The sequence below is a fragment of the Homo sapiens genome, chromosome 6 (genome assembly GCF_000001405.40).
Source record: "Homo sapiens chromosome 6, GRCh38.p14 Primary Assembly".
Lineage (NCBI taxonomy): Eukaryota > Metazoa > Chordata > Mammalia > Primates > Hominidae > Homo > Homo sapiens.
The window spans coordinates 39,429,205-39,450,645 of NC_000006.12; the positions used below are offsets into that span (position 1 = coordinate 39,429,205).

Below are 21,441 nucleotides of genomic sequence, written 5' to 3' on the forward strand. Positions count from 1 at the left end.
TTCCGTTTGCCTTTCTTTTTCCTTCTTCCGGGTCTACCTTCTTTCCCATTCCCTGTGGCTGCTGTATTAAACCTTCATCACCACCCTCAAGTCTCTTATTCTACCTCAACTTCTTTTTCACAGAGAAAACTTAGGTCATCTTTAATTTTCTCTCTCTTCTTCTCAGTGTGCCAATGTCAGCCCCATCTTGATTTGTTTTTCCATTCTTGCTCCCTTCCAGGGCTAACCTCCACTGAGCTTTTATTCCCTACCTTCCTGTCTTCCAGGAGCCTTGCTGTGTCAGCTTTTCCTGTTGTTTCTCTACCTTTCTCTTACCATTAGCTTATTCTGTGGCCTATAATATTAGCCAATTCTTTCCCATCCTGAAACCAACTTCCCTTTTACTTAAGCTACCTCTCTTTGTTCTTTCTAAAAATGTTTTTAGGCCAGGCGCAGTGGCTCATGCCTGTAATCCCAGCACTTTGGGAGGCCAAGGTGGGCGGAACACGAGGTCAGCAGATGAGACCATCGTGGCTAACACAGTGAAACCCCGTCTCTACTAAAAATACAAAAAATTAGCCAGGTGTGGTGGCGGGTGCCTGTAGTCCCAGCTACTTGGGAGGCTGAGGCAGGAGAATCGCTTGAACCCGGGAGGTGGAGGTTGCAGTGAGCCAAGATCACACCACTGCACTCCAGGCTGGGCAACAGAGTGAGACTCTGTCTCAAAAAAAAAAAATGATTTTCATCTATCACCAACTTTTTGAAGGCAATGACATTTCTTCTCACTCGCTCCTCCATGCCCGGCAGTCCAGCCAATGGCCTTCTAGTTGCAAAATCTCTGTACACTTCCCAGTTCCCTCCTGCTTATTTCTCTGTCGCATCTGACACTACTGACAGTCTGCTTCTTCTTGGAGCCGGCTCTCCTCTTGACTTGGCTATCAGGACATTATTTTCTCCTGGTTCGCCCCCTCTTCTTTATGCTTCTTCTCAGTCTCCATTATGGCCTCCTTTCTCTCTACCTTCCCTTCAAACTCCTTTCCCTTATGGCTCCCCTCTTTAGGCCTCAGCACTGCCACATGTTCTCCTGAGAGCTCATCTACTTCTTAGGCTTCCTGAGTTGTCATATGATTCTCAAACTCAGATCTCATTTTAATTCAACAAATAGTTCTTGAAAACTTACTGTGTGCTAGGATCCACAGTCTCATGTGACATATGAGAGTTCACCCTTTCTTCTGAGCTCTAGACCCCTACATCTGATAGAGTTTGTTTGCTACAGTTTGAGGATATGCATATACCTCACAGACTAGCTAAAAGAAATTATATACCTCTAAGTAAGCTTCTTTTGAAGGGGTCCAGAGCACAGCCCCATCTGACAACATGTCAGCAGATAATCCTGCCTGCTCTAATTTTGGCCTGGAGAAGACACCAAAGGCTTCTGGGTCACAAGATGTGCACATATTTTCTTTGACTAAGACAGGACTGCTCTCCAGAACAGCTGGAGTGCCTGCAGTTCTAAGAATATAATTTGGTCCATAGACTTTTTCCCCCCTCCTTTGCAACAGTAAGACATGGATAGAGTACAGGCTGATGAGAATGAATGTATGATGTGAGAATTGTAAATCACGTTGATACTGTCAGTAACAGACCCTGCCCTAAAGTTGCTTACCCCAGTAGTACTGGGATGGTGAGGCTCACACATGAAGGAGAATTGTACCAGGCTGGACATAATTAAATGTGAAACTGAATAAACATTATGCTTTTCTTGTAATAGTTATGTTGGGCAGATTAGGAAGGACAGAGTAAGCAAATCTCTTCTAGGCTGGCCTGGCTGAGCCTCGGAGGACCAGCTGCTCTCTGAGACAGCCTTACCTCTGTTTCAGAATCTGTTTGTTGTCATCGATGGTAACGCTGTCAGCGTGGTCCCTCTTGAAGATTTCAAAAGCCTCCTGGCATCCTAATGACATTTCCTCTCTCATTCCTGTTTGGAGACACAGGGAAATGGCCTCAGTCACAGCATCAGGATCCTATTAATTTCATTGTCACTTCAGTCAGACCACAAAACCAGCCCTGGCTCCAAGAGGCCCACAGCAGAGAGACTCTGACCAGACAGGTGGCCCCAGGCTCTTCCAGCTGGCTGACAACCTGCTGAGGAGGCCCTTCCAGTGCCACCCGCTGCACCCCTCAGGACTGTGCCTGCACAGCCATGTGACTCGTGGGGGGCGGGGTTTGGAATGCCTGCTCGGGGGAAATGAAAACCACAGCGCCAAGCCCTGGACTGCCGAGGATGTCTGCAAATGCCTTTTCTTACCATCGTTCAGTGCCACATTTCTCCCTGGTATGCCCTATTTTGTTTTTCTGTTAAATTTCCAGGCATTTAGTTAAAGGAATTATAATCCAAACTGAAAGATAGCATCTAGAAAATTCTGCTCTTAGTCTCTGTATAACAATTCATTCTTGTTTCCTGTGGTTAGTGAGGGGGTCTCGGCTCTTCTTCAGGAGTTAGGTCCTCAGTTACAAGACTCATGAGCTGGCCATGGCAGGGGTCCCTAGGTCATCTCTAACTTCAATATCCTGTATCGCCTTTGCCAATAAAGGCCAACCCTCACTGCTGGGCGCTGTTCAGAGTTCAACTTCTGGGACCCACGGTCAGTACAGCCAGGACCAGGCTCTCCTCCTCACCACCTCCCGGAGTGAGGGTCAGCGCAGATGTATGCCTGGGACCCCTCAGTGAGAGCTGAATTCACCGCTGGATTTTGGATGCATCTATAGAGCCATTTTTTTTTTTTTAATGCTTCTGCCCTTGGTTCCTTTGCCTGGGAGGCCTTTTCTCATGTTTTCCTCCAGTAACTCTACCTCCGTGGAGCTTTCGTCAAAGCCCAGGCAGAACAAACCCTCTTTTCACCATGTTCCTTATCAATACACCTATAATATGCACAGCCCAGTGGACACTGCCACTTCACATGGCAATCCTTTCTGGTGAAATGTAAGTTTCTCAGGGGGTAGAGATAATAGTTTTTTGTTTGTTTGTTTTGTGAATCCTTGTGTCTTGTTCAAAGTCTGGCATTTAGAAGGTGCTCAGCATACATCTGTTAAATGAATCAGGTTGAGAATGAAGCTGGGTGGTGCTGAGCCTTGCTGTTATTGCTGCGGGAACACAGTCCAGGGTTAGTGAGGCTCACTCTGAGGCCAAGGGTTCCGCAGAGGCTTTCATATGGGCCACATACCACGTCTCCTCTTGCCTGGAAAAAACTCTCTGAGTCCCATCACCCATCCTAAGGGTGAGTAACTGGACTAGCCCATCTGACACCAATTTAATGATTACTCTTGATAAAAATAGCACCGTGAAGAATGTCTAAATGGTGAGGCACAAAAATACACCCCACCCTTTTCTGATCAGAAGCAAATGGGCACGACTCAGCTTTGTCTCCACATCTGCCTTGCACACTCTAGAATTGGGTAGGCCTGGGAATCCGCTTGTGTGAGACGCAGAAAGATGATCCCTGATGCATGAGAGACATTGAGGGGCACGTTTCACCAGCAGAGCCCATTAGGAGCCAGCGGATTCATTCCATACCTTTCCCCTGTCCGGGTCTGCACCCAGTTCTAACAGTGCATGCCTTTTGCTACATAATAAAATAATAACAGACAGTAGAGGGCATGAGACTTTGGACTGGAGATGGGAAGAGAAAAGCTCCACAGAGACCACACTGGAGCCTGCTTGGGGGATCTCCAAATTGCTCCCCCCCGCAGGGGAGCTGATGAGCAGCCTTCCACCAACAGAGGTGTGGGGGTGGTGGGTGAAAGGGGTGTGGGGTGGGAGTGAAAGCTTGCTTAAGCTGCAGGGAAGAAGGGTTCACAGCCTCTTCCCTCCCAGGCTCTGCTTTTTCTGCAGAGCTGACTGTGAATGGACAGCTGGGTGGAAAGGACCACTCCAGAGCCCACGGCACTGTGGCGGCAGCCACTCCTGGGAGAACTTACAATGCACTGAGCAACCATTGGGACTAACTATATTCCCAACAACGAACAACACAAAAGTAAGTGACAATATGAAAACACGAAACAACATGAAACACACCTTCCCTGAGGTGCACTGGGGCCTGGGCCGTGGGAGCAGAAAGGACGTGGAGGGCACAGAGGAGACAAGCGCAGGCAGTTTGGGATCGTTGTGTACGGTCTTGAAGGTCCTACTAAGAAATTCGGGGCCAGCAGCATAACATATTCTACATGCATCGCCAACTTTCAAAGACTTACAATGGAATAAAGTACACATTATGGGAAAGTTACACTGGAAGGATTTAATACTCTTGGTGGCTTAAAAGGCACTTAGGGGTCCTGAAGTGCCAAGGGCTTATCATCAGGAACATAACCTTGGTTTTCCTTCTGTCACGGACAAAGTATTCTGGAGTTGGAGTTCTTTGATTGTGGTGACCACAGGTGAAGGCCATCAGAATGATGGCTATTATCTTGTCAGCTGTTTTCCCAAATGTCCACTCAGGGAGGCCAAGGTGAGGTGGCTGAAGCATAGCTGGAAGGCAAAGAGGCAAGGCAAGGCCAGGATGCCTGCAGAGACTTCAAGGCCACCACTTGGGGCAAGGCTGAGGTCCACAGAGGGAGGCACATGGGAAGGACTCACGGGCAGCTCCAGTGTGTGAGCCCAGGTCCCAGCCTGGCCCTACCCTTGCCCATCCCCATTCTGCTTGTTCAGAGCTCATGCGCAGCTCCTTTGGATTGCACTAATATACCACTTCTCACCCCATTTTGGGATCAGCTGCAAAGTTAATGAACGGCTTTTATTTACTGAAGAAATCACTTCCTTGTCCCTCTGAGGATTTAGAAAACAGGCTCTTTCTCCTATGGCAGTTCCCGTCCCTGAGCATGCACTGTATGCATTTGAAAGAGAAAGAGCAAAGGAGCAAAAAGAGTGATTAAAAGCTCACCTTGCTAATGAGACAATCGTCTATTTATTCTCTCAAGAAGTATTTATTTATATTAGGCATTGTGCTAGGCATGTGACAGAGATGTAAAGTTGAACATTAAAGCTTTGATTCTTGATTTAAAGAATTTGGAGTCCAGTAAGGGAGAAAGAAAAATGAAAAATGGCAGGGCGCAATGGCTCACGACTGTAATCCTAGCACTTTGGGAGGCTGAGGTGGGTGGATCACCTGAGCTCAAGAGTTCAGGTTCAGTCTGGGCAACATGGTGAAACCCATTTCTACTAAAATACAAAAAAAAAAAAAATTAGCTGGGCATGGCAGCACGCACCTGTAATCCCAGCTACTTGGGAGGCTGAGGCAGGAGAATCACTTGAACCCAGGAGGCAGAGGTTGCAGTGAGCCGAGATAGCACCATTGCACTTCAGCCTGGGTGACAAGGTGCGACTCCATCTCAAAACAAAACAAAACAAAAAAACAAAACAAAACAAAACAAAAACAAGAAAAGTGAACAAATATTTACAATGGAGGTTGCTGCTTGCTGTAGAGAGGTATGTGTCCAGCATGCGGGAGAGGGAGGGAGGGAGGCAGGGACTCTCAGCGAGAGTGGGAGAAGGCTGCAAGCAGGAGGGAGCAAGTGAACTTCATCTAGAAGGATCTGAAGGATGAAGCAGCATTTCCCAGGTAGAGAAGACATGGAAGAAGTTTCCAGGTGGAGGGGGCAGAGATGGAGTGTGGATTACAAAGGCAACCTGATTAATATGGGTGGCTCTGCCATCCAATAGAAATGATCTCTAGGTGATTAAAAAATGAATTTCTTATATACTCTATACCAAGGATAGTATCATGTGCTTTCTTATATATTATTTCAGTTAAATTTCTCTATGATCTCCGCAAATAAGTTCATTTTATAGATGAGGAAACTGAGGCTTACATAAATAAGTGATTATAAAGGGGTGAAAAATGCCCAGCTTTTAGAGGCAGTCATTGCGGCTCTTAGATCAGTTTTTCCAGGGAAAGTAGGCCTGACAGAAAGGGCAAGGTGGTGGGGCTCAAAATGACCTCGTAATATTAATAGTAGATTTACCCATGAGATCGTACTCTTATTAGTGCTTCTCTATCTAAAATGTTGATTTATTTTTACAATATCACAGAAAAACAGAACCATATATGTTTTTTACTACCTGCATAGTTTACTTCATCTGTTAATATGTTTTATTATTACTTCTAGAATTTGTAAGCTCCATGAGGGCAGGTATTTAAAAAAATTTTTTTATTTCAATAGCTTTAGAGGTACAAGTGGTTTTTGGTTACATGGATGAATTGTACAGCAGTGAAGTCTAGGATTTTAGTGCACTCCTCACCTGAATAGTGTACATTGTACCCAATAGGTAGTTTTTCATCCCTCACCCCCCAAACCTCCCCCATTTGAGCTCCAATATCTATTATACCACTCTGTACAAATTTGCATACCCATAGCTTAGCTCCCACTTATAAGTGAGAATATGTGGTATTTTGTTTTCTGTTCTCGAGTTACTTTACTTAGGATAATGGCCTCCAGTTTCATCCAAGATGCTGCAAAAGACATTATTTTGTTCTTTATGGCTGAGCAGTAATCCACACCACATTTTCTTTATCCATTCATCAGTTCATGGACACTTGTGTTGATTTCGTATCTTTGCAATTGTAAATTGCGCTGTGATAAACATATGCATCCAGGTGTCTTTTTTATATAATGACTTGTTTTCCTTTGGGGAGATACTCAGTAGTGGGATTGCTGGATCAAGTGGTAGATTTACGTTTAGTTCTTTGAGAAATTTTCATAGCGTTTTCCATAGAAATTATATTAATTTACAGTTCCACTAGCAGAGTATAAGCATTCCCTTTTTACCACATCTGTGCGAACATCTATTGTTTTTTGACATTTTATTAATGGCCTTTCTGGCTGGGGTAAGATGGTATTTCATCGTGGTTTTAATTTGCATTTCCCTGATAATTAATGATGTTGAGCATTTTTGCATGTTTGCTGGCCATTTTTATATCTTTTTTTGAGAGATGTCTCTTCATGTCATTTTCCCACTTTTTAATAGGATTATTTGTTTTTTTTCTTGCGGATTGGCTTGAGTTCTTTGTAGATTCTGGATATTACTGCTTTGTCAGAAGCATAGTTTGCAAATATTTTCTTTCATTCTGTAGGTTGTCTGTTTACTCTGTTGATTATTTATTTTTCTGTGCAGAAGCTTTTTAGTTTAATTAGGTCCCACTTATTTACTTTTGTTTTTGTTGCATTTGCTTTTAGGGTCTTAGTCAAGAATTCTTTGCCTAGTCCAATGTTCAGAAGAGTTTTTCCTAGGTTTTTTTTTTCTGGAATTTTTATGGCTTCAAGTCTTAGATTTAAGTCTTTAATCCATCTTGAGTTAATCTTTGTATATGGTGAGACATAGGGATCCAATTTTATTCTTCTACATGTGGCTATCCAATTTTCCAAGTACCATTTATTAAATATAGTGTCCTTTCCCCAGTGTATGTTTTTGTCTGCATTGTCAAAGATCAGTTGGTTGTAAATATTTGCTTTATTTCTGCATTCTCTATTCTGTTCCATTGGTCTGTGTGTCTACTTTTACATCAGTACCATGCTGTTTTGGTTATTATAGCTTTGTAGTGTAATTTGAAATCTGGTAATGTAATTCCTCCAGATTTGTTCTTTTTGCTTAGGATTGCTTTGGCTATTCAGGCTCTTTTTTTGGTTCCATATTAATTTTAGGAGTTTTTTTCTAATTTTGTGAAAAGTGATATTAGTATTTTGATAGGAATTGCACTGAATCTGTAGATTGCTTTAGGCAGTATTGTCATTTTCACAACATTAATTCTTCTGATTCATGAGCATGGGATGTTTTTCCATTTGTTTGTGTCATCTATGTTTTTTTTCATCAGTATTTTGTAGTTCTCCTTGTAGAGATTTTTCACCTCATTTGTTACATATATTTCTAGGTATTTTATATATTTTTTGTGGCTATTGTAAAAGGGATTGAGTTCTTCATTTGAGTCTCAGCTTGGTCCTTGTTGATGTAAGCAGAACTACTGATTTGTCTACATTTATTTTGTAAACTGAGGCTTTACTGAATTCATTTATCAAATCTAGCAATCTTTCAGAGAAGTCTTTAGGATTTTCTAGGTATAAGATCATATCATTGGCAAACAGTGATAGTTTGACTTTCTCTTTTCCAATTTGGATAAAAGCAAGGATTTTTGTCAGTTTTGTTTGCAGCAATATTTCTAGAATCCAGATAGTACTTGGCATACAAGAGCACTATAGCATATTTGGCACACAAAATATCTTTTGAATGAATGAATGAATGAAAAAGTGCTTTAGATGCTTAACGTCTTTCCTTCTGGATAGCATATTGTGATGGTGTGAAAAATGAGGCATGTATCCATTGCTCTCTCTCTCTCTGCCACCATGCTACTGGACAGTTTCATCTCCTACATAGTATGATTTTAGAAATTCAGCACCATCTTCTCCCCAGTACATGTCACCATGCTTACTGGCCCACCATTAGAGATGAATTCCAACTCCAAGAAGCTTTTATAAAAATGCAACTACAGTCCTGCCCCACATAAAGACGTTTCAATCAATGGTGAACTGCATGTACGACGGTGGTCCCATATGGTGTCATAGTTGTCATAATGTCATAGTGCAACACATTTGTCACATGTTTGTGGTGATGCTGGTGTAAATAAACCTACTGTGATGCCAGTTGTATAAAAATATTGCGTATATAATTATATACGGTACATAATACTTGATAATAAATGACTATTTTACTGATTTATGTATTTACTATACTTTATTTATTTATTTAATTATTTATTTATTTTTGAGACAGAGTGTCACTCTTGTTGCCCAGGCAGGAGTGCAGTGGCCTGATCTTGGCTCACTGCAACTTCTGCCTCCTGGGTTCAAGCGATTCTCCTGTCTCAGCCACCCGAGTAACAGGGATTTGTCCGCCACCACGCTCGGCTAACTTTTTGTATTTTTAGTAGAGATGAGATTTCACCATGTTGACCAGGCTGGTCTCGAACTCCTGACCTCAGGTGATCCACCTGCCTCAGCCTCCCAAAGTACTGGGATTACAGGTGTGAGCCACTGCGCCTGGCCTATACTATACTTTTTATCATTATTTTAGAGTGTACTTCTTCTACTTATAAGTTAACTGTAAAAAAGCCTTGGGCAGGTCCTTCAGGAAGTATTCCAGAAGAAGGCATTGTTATCATAGGAGATGAGAGCTCCATGTGTGTTACTGCCCCTGAAGACCTTCCAGTGGGACAAGGTGTGGAGGTGGAAGACAGTGACACTGAAGGTCCTGACACTGTGTCTTCATTTTTAACAAAAAAGTCTAAAAGCTTAAAAAAAATGAAAAATTTTTAAAATAGGGAAAAGCTGATAGAATAAAGATATAAAGAAAAAAATATTTTTGTACAGCTGTATAATGTGTGTTTTAAGCTAAGTGTTATTACAGAATTAAAAAGTTAAAAAAATTAGGCTTATAAGATAAAAAGTTACAGTAAGCTAAGGTTAATTTATTATTGAAATATTAGTAAAAATGAATTTAGTGTAGCTTAAGTGTACAGTGTTTATAAAATACACATAGTGTACAGTAATGTTCTAGGCCTTCACACTCACTCACCACTCACTGGCTCACCCAAACCAACTCCGTCCTTCAAGTTCCATTCATGGTAACTGCCCTGTACAGGTGTTTTTATTTTTATACTGCATTGTTACTGTACTATTTCTATGTATAGACACACAAATGCTTACCATTGTGTTACAATTGCCTACAGTATTCAGTACAGTAACATGCTGTACAGGTTTGTAGCTGAGGAGCATTAGTTTATCCCATCTAGCCTAGGTGTGTAGTAGTCTATACTATCTAGGTTTCTTTAAGTACACACTATGATGTTCACAAAATGATGAAGTCACCTTATGACGCATTTCTCAAAATGTATCTCAGTTGTTAAGTGACACAAGACTATACTCTTGAAGGTATCATTATTTCAGTGCTAGCAAAGAAAAATTCCACAATTTATTGACAATTAGCTAAGAGGTACTGCAAAGACATACATTTTATCTTCTTCCCAACTTTGTTTAGTCTGTCAGACTCAGCTCCTCAACAGAGCTGAGGACCTTGGGAACTTGCCATGCTCATTTCTAGAGCTCATTTCTTAGTTGTTTGCTTTTAGTGAATTTTAATCACAGGTTCCCAGCGCTGGATCCCTGAAATATGAATGATTAAGAGAAGCCTGCTGGCTTGCTGAGTTACAGAACCATTTAAAACCTAAAAGAGAGGAATTTCTGAGTCTCATTCTCCAAAAGACGACATTGCAATTTCGGTTGTAAGTTGGATGGAAAATATTTGCAAGTCCCAAAGGTGTAATCTCTTCTGAACTTTGATAGTGGTCAAAGAGCACATAGGTAGAAATGGTAGTCAACAAGGGGCTTTCAACATCAGCCTCAGGGTTGGGTTTCTGAAACATTAGGCATCCAAATTCTTGTGCGCTGGTCCCTTACCCACTTCTTAATGCTTTCTTTTTTTTTCAACCTGAAATTCAGTTCCTTATTTTGCTAACGAATACAACTTGGTACTTTGGGAAGCCCTCCCCATCCCCAACACAGGGTCCCATGGAAACCAAATGGAAAGGAAAAACATCGGAAGTGGAGAGTTTATGCTATTGCCTTTGGGCCTGCGGTCTGATTTCCTTTAGTCTGGGGTACATGGGCCAGAGCTTATTTTCCTGGCTGCTCCTAAACAACCTACTGCTGCTTAAGCTATTGCTTAAAAATTGACAAAAGTACAATGATGGAGAGAGTTGTGTTATTCATGCTGAAAAATGATTTCCTAGTCGGAGCCAAAAATATATTTTCCTTGGGAGATATTCACTCGCGTGGGGCCTCGGTTCCCTCTGACTAAAGAAGAGAGGGATGAGAAGAAGACCAGCAGGGGACGATGAACAGTGAGAAGGGGGGTGGATTCCAAGGAGATGGGGGTTTGGAACACACTGTTTGGGACTGAAAGCATGAGAAGGCTCAGAGCTGGGTGGGGAGCATGTGGTGCTAAGGCAGGAAGGAAGCTGATGATTCACGGTGGGAATCGTATTGAAGGATGATTATACTCTGTGGCTCAATAGTGGAAGCTCTTTAAATTGAAGGTAAGGGAACAGCTCTGATACCACAGTATGATGAATACCTACAACGTGTAGAATCTGGAGGTGCATACAAGAATGAGAAGCAATGGGCAGAGATCAAGTGTGTTTTTTGTATGGTGCCTGAAATAACCTTCTATCTGAAGTGAAATTTCTTGGTAAGTGTTGACTTGGGTGAAATAGACAAAAATATCGTCACCTAAATAATTAGAAGAGAATTCCATTTCAGTGTGTTCCAAACCCCTGTCTCCTTGGAATCCAGCACCCCCTCACTGTTCATCGTCCCCTGTTGGTCTTCTCTCCCCTCTCTTCTTTAGTTGGAGAGAACTGAGGTCCCTGAGTGTGTGGAGAAGGTAGAATGAACGGGTTGATGGGAGGAAAAGGAAATAAGGATTTAGAAGAGAGACAAGGCAGAGCTGAGGAAGGGATAATCTATCGAGCTGTAGCATGAAATATAAAGGTCAAGAGGGATAGGAAGGTCAGGGGGAAGGTCAGTGAGCCCACACTCTTGGGAGTGGTGCTGGATGTCTCCAGGGGCATAGAGAGGAAATGGTGGCTTCAGCCAGAAACCCAGGTGCAGGACAAGCCAGCAGCTTTGACGATGGAGAGCCAAGGATGCACTGACACTGGACTGAATACATGCATGGAATGGGGTTGGGGGCTATAACAGATCTTATAAGAGAAATGAGCCATCTCCAAGAAAGATTAGATGGAACAGTGGAGATAGTGTCTTTACCTTCCTCCCACAAGGATGCTTGTGATTTAGGAAGGAGGAGTTTTTGAAAGGTGCATGAAAGACAAGGATGTTGAATATGCAGACCCTATGTTACCGCTTTCACTCTTCATACCCCTAGAAGACATCGCTGATCAATCTCAGCATCTTTCCTGGGAAACTAATCATAGCATTAGAGTTCTCAGCACAGTTTTTCAGCAGCCTCTGCCAGTCAATCATCCCTGGCATAGAAGCTCTTCCTTTAATAGGTGGCTTCCAGATTACTAACCAATTAAATGACAACTGCCATTTGATAATAGCAAATGTCATCATTTACTGTTACTGTCATCATGCCGGTGCCACCTGGTCCCATCGCTTTAGGAACTACTGTGCAGATGGTCTCCCCTGGAGAGCAGCATCATGCCCTAGCATGTGTGTATCACTGAGGAGCCCTCCATTCATGTTCCTCCACCTCCAGGGTGATGGAGGTCACCACAGTAAGCAGAGCCATCTGTCACGGTTCTGCTGACTTTAAAGGGCCTGGTGTAGCCCAGCTACAATTTGAGGGGTTGCTGCGCTGGTACCGCAGGGTATGAAATCTGAGGATGAGGGGAAGAAAAAAAGCCACGGCCAAAGTGACTGCAGATGTGAAGACCAGAGATCAGATCTTTTGGGGTGACCAAGGACACTCACTCAACCTACTTCCTCCTCTCGATTGACAATTTCTGGAATGGGCTAGTGCCCCAAGGCTTTGAGGTTAAAGGGCTATGTTCAACTCAGATAATATCACCTGGGCTAAAGTCCTCAGATTAGGACTTGCCTTAGAGTTTCTTAAGTAGCCACATGAAAGATGTCAAAGGAACCTTTAATTAGTAGGTTCTGAGGGCTGGCTTGGACCAGGCTGAAGCATGGTAGGCTTGGCAGGAGCTCTAGGGAGGAGAGCGAAGGGAAAATCTGAAGTGGAAAGCCACATAAACCTTAGGAGACCCACCCAATGGTGGCACCACATCTAAATAAATCAAATGGGTTCCTGACTCCTGATGCCAGAAATCACACATCCCACGGGCAACCCACACTGGCCCAGCAGTGCAGACCACGCGGGCTGGGTGGAATAAAGGGGGCAGTGCTCAAGGCAGGTTGTGTTTTCCTTTTGTCTTGGTAACTGCATCTGATTCACCCACCTGCTGCGGCTGCCTCCTGGACTTTCCCTTGAGCAGGTGAGGAAAGGGCTGGCTTGCCAAAGGAGTGGACAGGCCTGGAGCCTCTGAAAAAATGGCAGCTGCTCTGGGGTAGCTTCTGATTGCCAGCAATAACAAAAGACATCTAAACAGTGGTCCTCAAGAGCATCTGCAGAAAACACTCATTTTCCTAACCTAGCATCTCTGGGGTTTCTATTTTGTAAATGTTCTCATCCAGGACAAAGTGCCCACATGGGCTGTTACAGAAATCCGTGGACAGACGCAGGCACTGAGTTTGGAAAGCCGCCTGGGTCATGGTGGCATTTCTGCATTTTGGAGCCAGCTTAGGCATCTGGAGGCCAGCAACGTTTCCATTAAATAAGACAGCACGCTGTGGCTCCTGCTGCCAGGCCAAACTGGATCTATTGAGTCTTTTCTATTGATTTTAGCCCGTAGATGTGGCAGCACTGAAAAAGCCTGGATGTCTAATTCCAGGCTCAATATTTGGACCAATCCTGGGAATCTGAGTGGAAGAACGCGTGTGTCTGAATTCTTTGTAGGTTGACTGACAGCTCCCTGAACGGAAAGGCAGCAGTTTTCTTCAGCTTAGAAAGAGGCTCCAGATCGGCTGGGCGCGATGGCTCATGCCTGTAATCCCAGCACTTTGGGAGGCTGAGGTGGGCGGATCATGAGGTCAGGAGATTGAGACCATCCTGGCTAACACGGTGAAACCTCGTCTCTACTAAAAATACAAAAAAATTAGCCGGGCGTGGTGGCGGGCACCTGTAGTCCCAGCTACTGGGGAGGCTGAGGCAGAAGAATGGCGTGAACCCGGGAGGTGGAGCTTGCAGTGAGCCGAGATCACGCCATTGCACTCCAGCCTGGGCGACAGAGTGAGACTGCATCTCAAATAATAATAATAATAATAATAATAATAATAATAATAATAATAATAAATAAAAATAAAAAAAAGAAAGAGGCTCCAGATTCTACAGAACATAGGATTCCCTGAGTCTCACATGTCCTTGACTGCTTCCAAAGGCCATGGTTCACAGGGTCCTGTTGAGTGGCTTCCACCCTAATGAGATTAGCTCTTGTGTGAGCCTGTGCTTCAGAGGCAGTGGTTAAAGCATTGTTAACGTGTCCTGTTGTCTGAAAAATGAGGCAAATTTTCTATCTATGCCTAAATTAGGAATGGATTCACTATAGACTCATTTATTTTCATGTATTTAATTTTATTTATTTTTATTTTATTTAAGACAGAGTCTTGCTCTATTGCCCAGGCTGGAGTAGAGTGGTGCAATCTTGGCTCACTGCAACCTTTGCTTCCCAGGGTCAAGCAATTCTTGTGCCTCAGCCTCCCAAGTAGCTGGGACCAGAAGTGTGTGCCACCACACCTGGTTAATTTTTGTATAACTAGTAGCGATGGGGTTTCGCCATGTTGGCCAGACTGTTCTCGAACTCCTGGCCTCAAGTGATCTGCCCACCGTGACCTCCCAAAGCACTGGAATTATAGGTGTGAGCCACCATGCCTGGTCAATTTTCATACATTTTAAAAAGAGAATTAAAGAATTGCATTCTAGCTAAGGAGCAAAAAATACCCCTTCCCTGAAATATGTATGGATTTAAGTAAAATTCTGTTTCCTTAGCTTGTAAGTAAGTAGATGCAAAATGGAGTTTAGATATGCTTATGTTCATGTTTTGGGGAAAAAAAGGAAGGGGAAATTTAATTTTTGTGTGTCTTCCATGTGACAGGCACTGTTCCATATTTCACAAATATTAATTCAATTAATCTTCACAACTCTATTGGTAGTGGTGGAAAGCTGATGCTTATTGAGAACTTTGCATATACTAGAGGCATTACATATGTTCTTATTTAATTCTTACAATAACCGAGTCAACTAGGTAGTATTGGGCCTAGTTGGCAAGGTTATTAAGGTTGAAAGAGGTTAAAAGTGACTCCAAGTCAACAGTTAGTAAGTGGCAAAGCCATAACTATACCCTAGGTTTGTCTGACTCCAAAACCCACCTTTCTTTTTTTTTCTTTTTTTGGAAATGGAACCTTTATTTCTGCACAGGCCACCCCGGCTTTACTGAGGCATAATTGACAAATAAAATTGCATATATTTAAGGTTTACAATGTGATGATTTGATGCAGGTATATGTTGTGAATGATTACCACAATCAAGTTAGGTAATACATCCATCAACTTATATAGTTAGTTACCTGTTTTTTTGTTTGTTTGTTTGTTTTGTGGTGAGAAAAGATCTTAAGGTGAAAAGACCTTCTGTTAACAAGTACTGAGAATCTACGCTATTGACACCCTTAAGATCTTAAGATCTCTTTTAGCAAATATCATGTATACAATACAGTATTATTAACTACAGTCACCATGCTGTGCATTAGAGCCCCAGATGTTGGGCTCTATACCTCCTCATTTCCCCGAACTCCAGCCCCTGGCAACTACCATTCTACTCTCTGTTTCTATGAGTTCAATTTTTTCCAAAACGCTCCTTTTGCATGCTATGTTGCTAAGTGAAAGTCATTTGTCAACTAGAAATGATCTCATAAATACCAGCAAACCACTGATATCAGACCTAAGGGTCAGAAGGTCAGAGATGGTTAAAAAAAAAAAAAAGGAAATTTTTGGAGGGTTGTGAGCTGGAACGTGGACCAAAACCCATCAATTTGCAGTTCACAAGAGCTGGAGATCTCTGTGAACAGGAAACTAGGGAAGGCACCAGACACCTGACACCTGGGAGGAGCCGCATCACCTGAGAGCCCAGGGTCTGGGTTATGGAGCAGGGGAAAGTGAAGATCTGGCTGGCTTGTAGTGAATCCTTGACTCTGCCATTAAGGACTTTTTGGTTAGAGAACTCTGTTAGGTTCAATTAAGTACGGTAATTATCTTTCCCCAATCTGTACAGCGATTGTACTCTGAACAGTCTCCACATTAAATAGGTTATACACTTGAAATGGTGATTGGATTGGAGTTGAGTTTTGGTGGGGGCACTACAGAGAAGATGAAGGGGCAGGGCCCAGGTTCTAATAATGTGGGCTTTGAGGAGAAGAAACTCCCATCCCCCAGTGAACAGTGGTGAAAAGAGGCAAGAAGCATCCAGGAGGTGATCCTTTAACCTCTGACCTCTCTGTATCCTAATAGCTTCTTCTCTGGAAAGCATTTTATTGTTTAAATATAACATTCGTTTATTCATTCAGGCTGAGTCAACTGGTGAAACAGACCATCTGTTAATAAGCACTGAGTGTCTACGCTATTGACACCCTTTTCTATGGTTAGTTGGAGATAAGTAAAAGAAATATTGTCCTTGACCATACAATTTAGCTCAGCACTGAGGGCATGGGAAGGCCAAAGTTTATGTTAAAAGGCAGGTGAAGCAGATAGACAAGGCATCAAAGGTCACGTGGTTCAGAAGGTATAGATGACTGGGAGAGAGCAGAGAAGCGGGTGGTCAGATTGCAGAAGGATTTCTCAGGGAATGTTCCTCCTGAGGCAGGTTTTAGAAGCACTGAGAAGCAGGAGCTAGAGGAAAGGGGGTCAGTGTTATTCTGCACAGGAAATAGAATGGCAAATCCACAGGGATGGGGAGGATCCCACCAGGTGAAGGGCTTGGCATGGAGACTGGCAGGACCTTGGGGATTTCCTTTGGTTGCCAGGGGCATTCAAGCTCAAGTGGCCACTGGGACCAGACACTGCACCCTCAACCAGTTCCCTGTTTGCCCAAGGTATTCCCAGGCAGAGACCCAATGAAGTTTTCCACAGGCTTGTCAGGCAATTTTCCCTCCCTCCTTCAGATGATTGAAGAAGATTTCCTTTAGTGTAACAGCAGGCTGCTCTGTGATTCCTGTTCAGTGGTGGGGGAAAGGAGATAGGACTTGGAGGCAGAAGCCATGGGTTGAGTGCTGGTTTCGACTACTAGCTGTGTGCCCCGGATCTGCCATTTATATTGCTCTAAGTTTCAGGCTCCACATCTATAAAATGAAACACATAATAACTGCTATCTCTTAATGGTATTGTGAGGAGTTAGGAGTGGGCAGTACCTTGTGCATCTCTCCATTTTAGAACTATCCAATGCCTTTGTAATGATGTAATATTTCCATGATATCTCACCTCTCTGCCTCCCCTACCCCTCAGGCCATGAGCCCCCAAAGGCATGTGACTTTAGCTCCAAGCTCACTGCCTGGGATACAGTAGATGCTCCAAACAAGATTTCTTGACTGAATAAATGAGCAAGAAGGAGAGATCTCCAGTGAAATTGTTTTCTTTTCTTTCCTTTTTCTTTTTTTTAGATGGAGTTTCACTCTTGTTGCCCAGGCTGGAGTGCAATGGTGTGATCTTGGCTCACTGCAACCTCCACTTCCCAGGTTCAAGCAATTCTCCTGCCTCAGCTTCCTGAGCAGCTGGGACTACAGGTGCCACCAGGCCCATCTAATTTTTGTATTTTTAGTAGAGACGGGGTTTCACCATGTTGGCCAGGCTGGTCTTAAACTCCTGACTTCAGATGATCCACCAGCCTCGGCCTCCCAAATTGCTGGGACTACAGGCATGAGCCACTGAGCCTGGCCAAAATTGTTTTTCTTAAAAACGTTATTTGTTAAACTGTACTTATGTCTTTAATGTAGTTTTCTGTGAATATATTTTATATAAAAATAAAGAAAACAATATGGCAGCAATGAATCATTTATTTAAAAGTCTCTGACAGAATGAATGAGTAAATGTGGAATATACTATAAAAAGTGAAAGTGTAAAAATGTTATAATTACCATCATAAGTAATAATGAGTCACCTAAAAACCCACCCACAGCAATCTGTTACGAGTGAAAGAATTACTTTAACACAGCAGGAGGATTTTAAGGTAGTTACAAATGACGGGTTAGCAATGTAGGGAGAGACAGTGGCTGAAATGGTCAGTCTGCCTCTACTGTTTCTGTGTTCTCTGCTTCCCAACCACACCAGCCAGGCTCATTCCACAGTAACAACCTCATCTCATTGAGAAAATGAATGTGACAGGACAGGGGCTTTCCACCACCATGTCTTCCAGTGGACTCTCATGTATACCAGAAGTCCAAGCTTTCCCTCTGGTAACAACTAAACATCATCCACCATCTTATCAAAGCCCACCCCCTTCACCTGGGCTGTGGCTCCCAAACTCCTCTCCTGGCCTTCTTCCCTGAACCCTTATCTCCTGCCTGAACAATTTCCCCCACTGGATTATTTCCAGCAGCACAAAGTCATATTTTAAAATGTATGCTGAATCGGTTATAGTTAAATGTAGCTATATTTGAATTTGTAGGTACCAAATGGAAGGTTAAAACATTCATGTTTACTGGCCTTGATTTCATTGATGGAAGAGGAGAAAAGATAATCTATTTGTAGTGTGACTGGCAGCGTAGGGGACTTAAGAACACTTAGACACTTGGGGGAGGAAAAAAAAATACTCTTTTAACAATATCCTTCCTTTACCCCATTAACCTTCCAGCTATCTTTCAATTTCTTTGGTCCCTTTTCTTGGAAATGCTTCAACAGAGCTGTCTACATTCACCTCTCAATTCCCCCACTTCCTGTTCTCGCCTTGCTGTAGTCCAATGGACTTCCATCCCCTATACTCCACTGAAATTGTCCTTTCAAGATCCCCAGTGATCCTGGATTGCCAAAACCAGTGGTCAGTTTTCTGTTTTTATTTGAGTTGGCCTCTCGGTAAATGGTACAGCAATAAGGTTAGGGAACTGCACGTAACTGCTACTGGTCAGCGGGCTGTGAGCGGCAGTGATACGTTTCTTCCTGGCTAAAGCAGTGGAGAGCCCCTTTGCGATTCTTCATACTCTCTCTTTCCTCACTCTGGTGATGGGGGTCATCGCAGATATAATCTCCATCAGCCTCGGTCTCTGGGGACCAGAGCTCCTACCTCTCTGGCCCACATTATTCATGCAATATGAACAAAAAGTACATTTTATTAATTTTTTTTTTGAGATGAAGTCTTGCTCTTGTCGCCCAAGCTGGAGTGCAGTGGTGCGATCTTGGCTCACTGCAACCTCCTTCTCCTGGGTTCAAGTGATTCTCCTGCCTCAGCCTCCTGAGTAGCTGGGATTACAGGCACCTGCCACCACACCCGGCTGATTTTTGTAGTTTTCATAGAGACAGGGTTTCACGATGTTGGCCAGGCTGGTCTCGAACTCCTGACCTCAGGAGATCCACCCGCCTCATCCTCCCAAGGTGCTGGGATTACAGGTGTGAGCCATCGTGCCCGGCCAAAATATGTTGTATTAAGTGACACTGATATTTTGTGTTCATTTATTACCAGAGCATAACTTAGTCTAGTCTGACCAATATGCAGTCGGTGAAACAGCTGACAAGCTCCCTCCTGCCTGAAGCACTTCCTTCCCTGGCTTTCTGTGACATTACTCCCTCCAAGTTTTTGTCCTACCTCCCTGGCTTCTCTTTCCAACCTTCAGATATTGTTTAGCTCTGGAGACTATTCTCTTTCAACAGGTGATTTCATTCAGGTGCATGGCTTTACGATGTATTACACACAAATGGCTCCAAAATGACTTTCCCTTTGAGTGCCAAAGTGGGACATCTGACAGGCCACTCCACTGGGAATCCTTACTTGAAGGTTTAATTGGCATATCAAACTTAACATACCCCAAACAGAACTCTTAATTTCATGCTCCATTCTAAGCTCTATCCCAAGCTGTTCCCCCTAATTGTTTCCATATCAGTAAATGGCACCATTTGCTCAAGCAAAAAATCCTAAGATTCTTCCATGATTCTTCAACCCCCACATGCCATCAGCTCTAGCGGCAACTCCTGCCAACAATCCCTTCAGAATAATGCCTTACACCTCTCTGCTTCTCTTTGTCTCTTTTTTAGCCTAACCCAAGTCGTTGCCATTTCTTCTCTGGACTGTCTCCTGATAGCCTTGCCAGCTTCCATTTTGCCCTCCTGCAATATATTCTCTATATAGCAACCCAAATGATCTTTTAAGAATATGATTACGTCACTCTCTGCTTTAAACTCTCCTGTGGCTTCCCATGGACAAAGCCAAACCTGAATATACCCCAACCTCCTCAGCCTACCAGGACCTCCTGGCGTCATCTGGTCCCTGGCTACATCCCTCCCTCTTCATGCCACACCCAGGTATTCTTTGTTCATGCCTTCTTGGCTCCCTGGCCGCCTTTCAGCTGCTCAACTATGGAAGTAGTGTTCCTGCCTTTGGGGCTTTATACTTGCTGCTTGTTTCACTGTCTGGAATGTTCTTTTCTGGGATCTTTATGATTATCAACTCACTATTCAGTTTGCAGCTCCCTTGTCCCCAACCCACCACAATGATTTTCTACCCTCTTTTTCTGTTTCATATCCTTCCTTAGCACTTATCACCCTCTGAAACCACATGTATGTATGTATTGTATGGAATGAAAACTCCTCAGAGGCTAACCTGTCCTGTTCAGTGCTCCTTCTCCAGTACAGTAGGATGAAAGAGAGGAAGGAAGGGAGAGAGCAGTCGCAGTCCCATTGTAAACAGGTCCTCTGATAGGTACCAGATTGGCACACCTGCCTGCCCACATCAAGCCCAAACTGCTCTCCTATGAAGGTGCCAACCCTGGAACTGAGCTTTTTCCTCTCTGCCCCCACAATCAGAATTTTTTAAATAACCTTTCTGTTCTGGGGGACTTGGCTCATGTCAACATCCACAGGCCCTTGCTAACCTGTACCCTGACTAACCTCATCACCTCACTATTCTGCTGTCTCTTTCTCACTAGGTTTTCATTTTTGGGAGTTTGTGGTTTGTTTGTTTTGCTTTTATTTTTATTTTCTACATTTTAACTCCATGAATAATTCTCTCCAAAGGGGGCCAAACAAAATGCCACGTATAAATGGCAAGGTGGCTAGTGAGAGCCACTCTCTTTTCCTGGCAAGAGTTTCCATTTCTGAAAGTGACACATGAGAATCTTTGGAGACATCTATCATCATTTCAGAATGCTATGGGGTCATCCAAGCTAATATCTGTACCTGTTGTACATCCTCAACAGACAGAAGTAATTGACCATTATGGATGGATTATGTTAGGCTATCTAGGAAAGTTTCAGAGGAGTTTTGCTTTCATAGATGCATTATCCTATAGGAGCTCAGAGAGGGATATAGTCGATACGGAAGGCAAGTCCTAAAGATGTCAACCTCATCTATGCCTGAGGAGGTAAGAATATGCAAAAGGCATTACTTTACTTTTTCTAATTATCAAAGTATGGCTTGCCCATTGAAGAAAACTGGGGTAACAGAATGATGTAAAGAAGCAAGAAAGGCCGGGCACAGTGGCTCACACCTATAATCCCAGCACTTTGGGAGGCTGAGGTGGGCAGATGGCTTGAGCCCAGGAGTTTGAGACCAGCCTGGGCAACATGGTGAAACCCCATCTCTACCAAA

General features: G+C 43.4%; 1 protein-coding gene across 11 annotated transcripts in view; it reads right to left on the reverse strand.

Moving 5' to 3' along the window:
- The window catches only part of KIF6 (kinesin family member 6), a 395,419-nt gene that overhangs the window by 99,215 nt on the left and 274,763 nt on the right, over positions 1–21,441 (reverse strand). For 7 of the 11 annotated variants that reach the window (NM_001289020.3, NM_145027.6, NM_001289021.3 and 4 more), the window contains one exon: positions 1,849–1,957. The exons of 1 other annotated variant lie outside the window; for it this stretch is intronic. In NM_001289020.3, coding sequence (NP_001275949.1) covers positions 1,849–1,957 — 109 coding nt within the window. Of the gene's footprint in view, positions 1–1,848; positions 2,187–21,441 lie in introns of those variants that run through there. 3 more of the 11 variants (NM_001289024.3, NM_001351566.2, XM_047418331.1) reach the window with 2 other exon arrangements.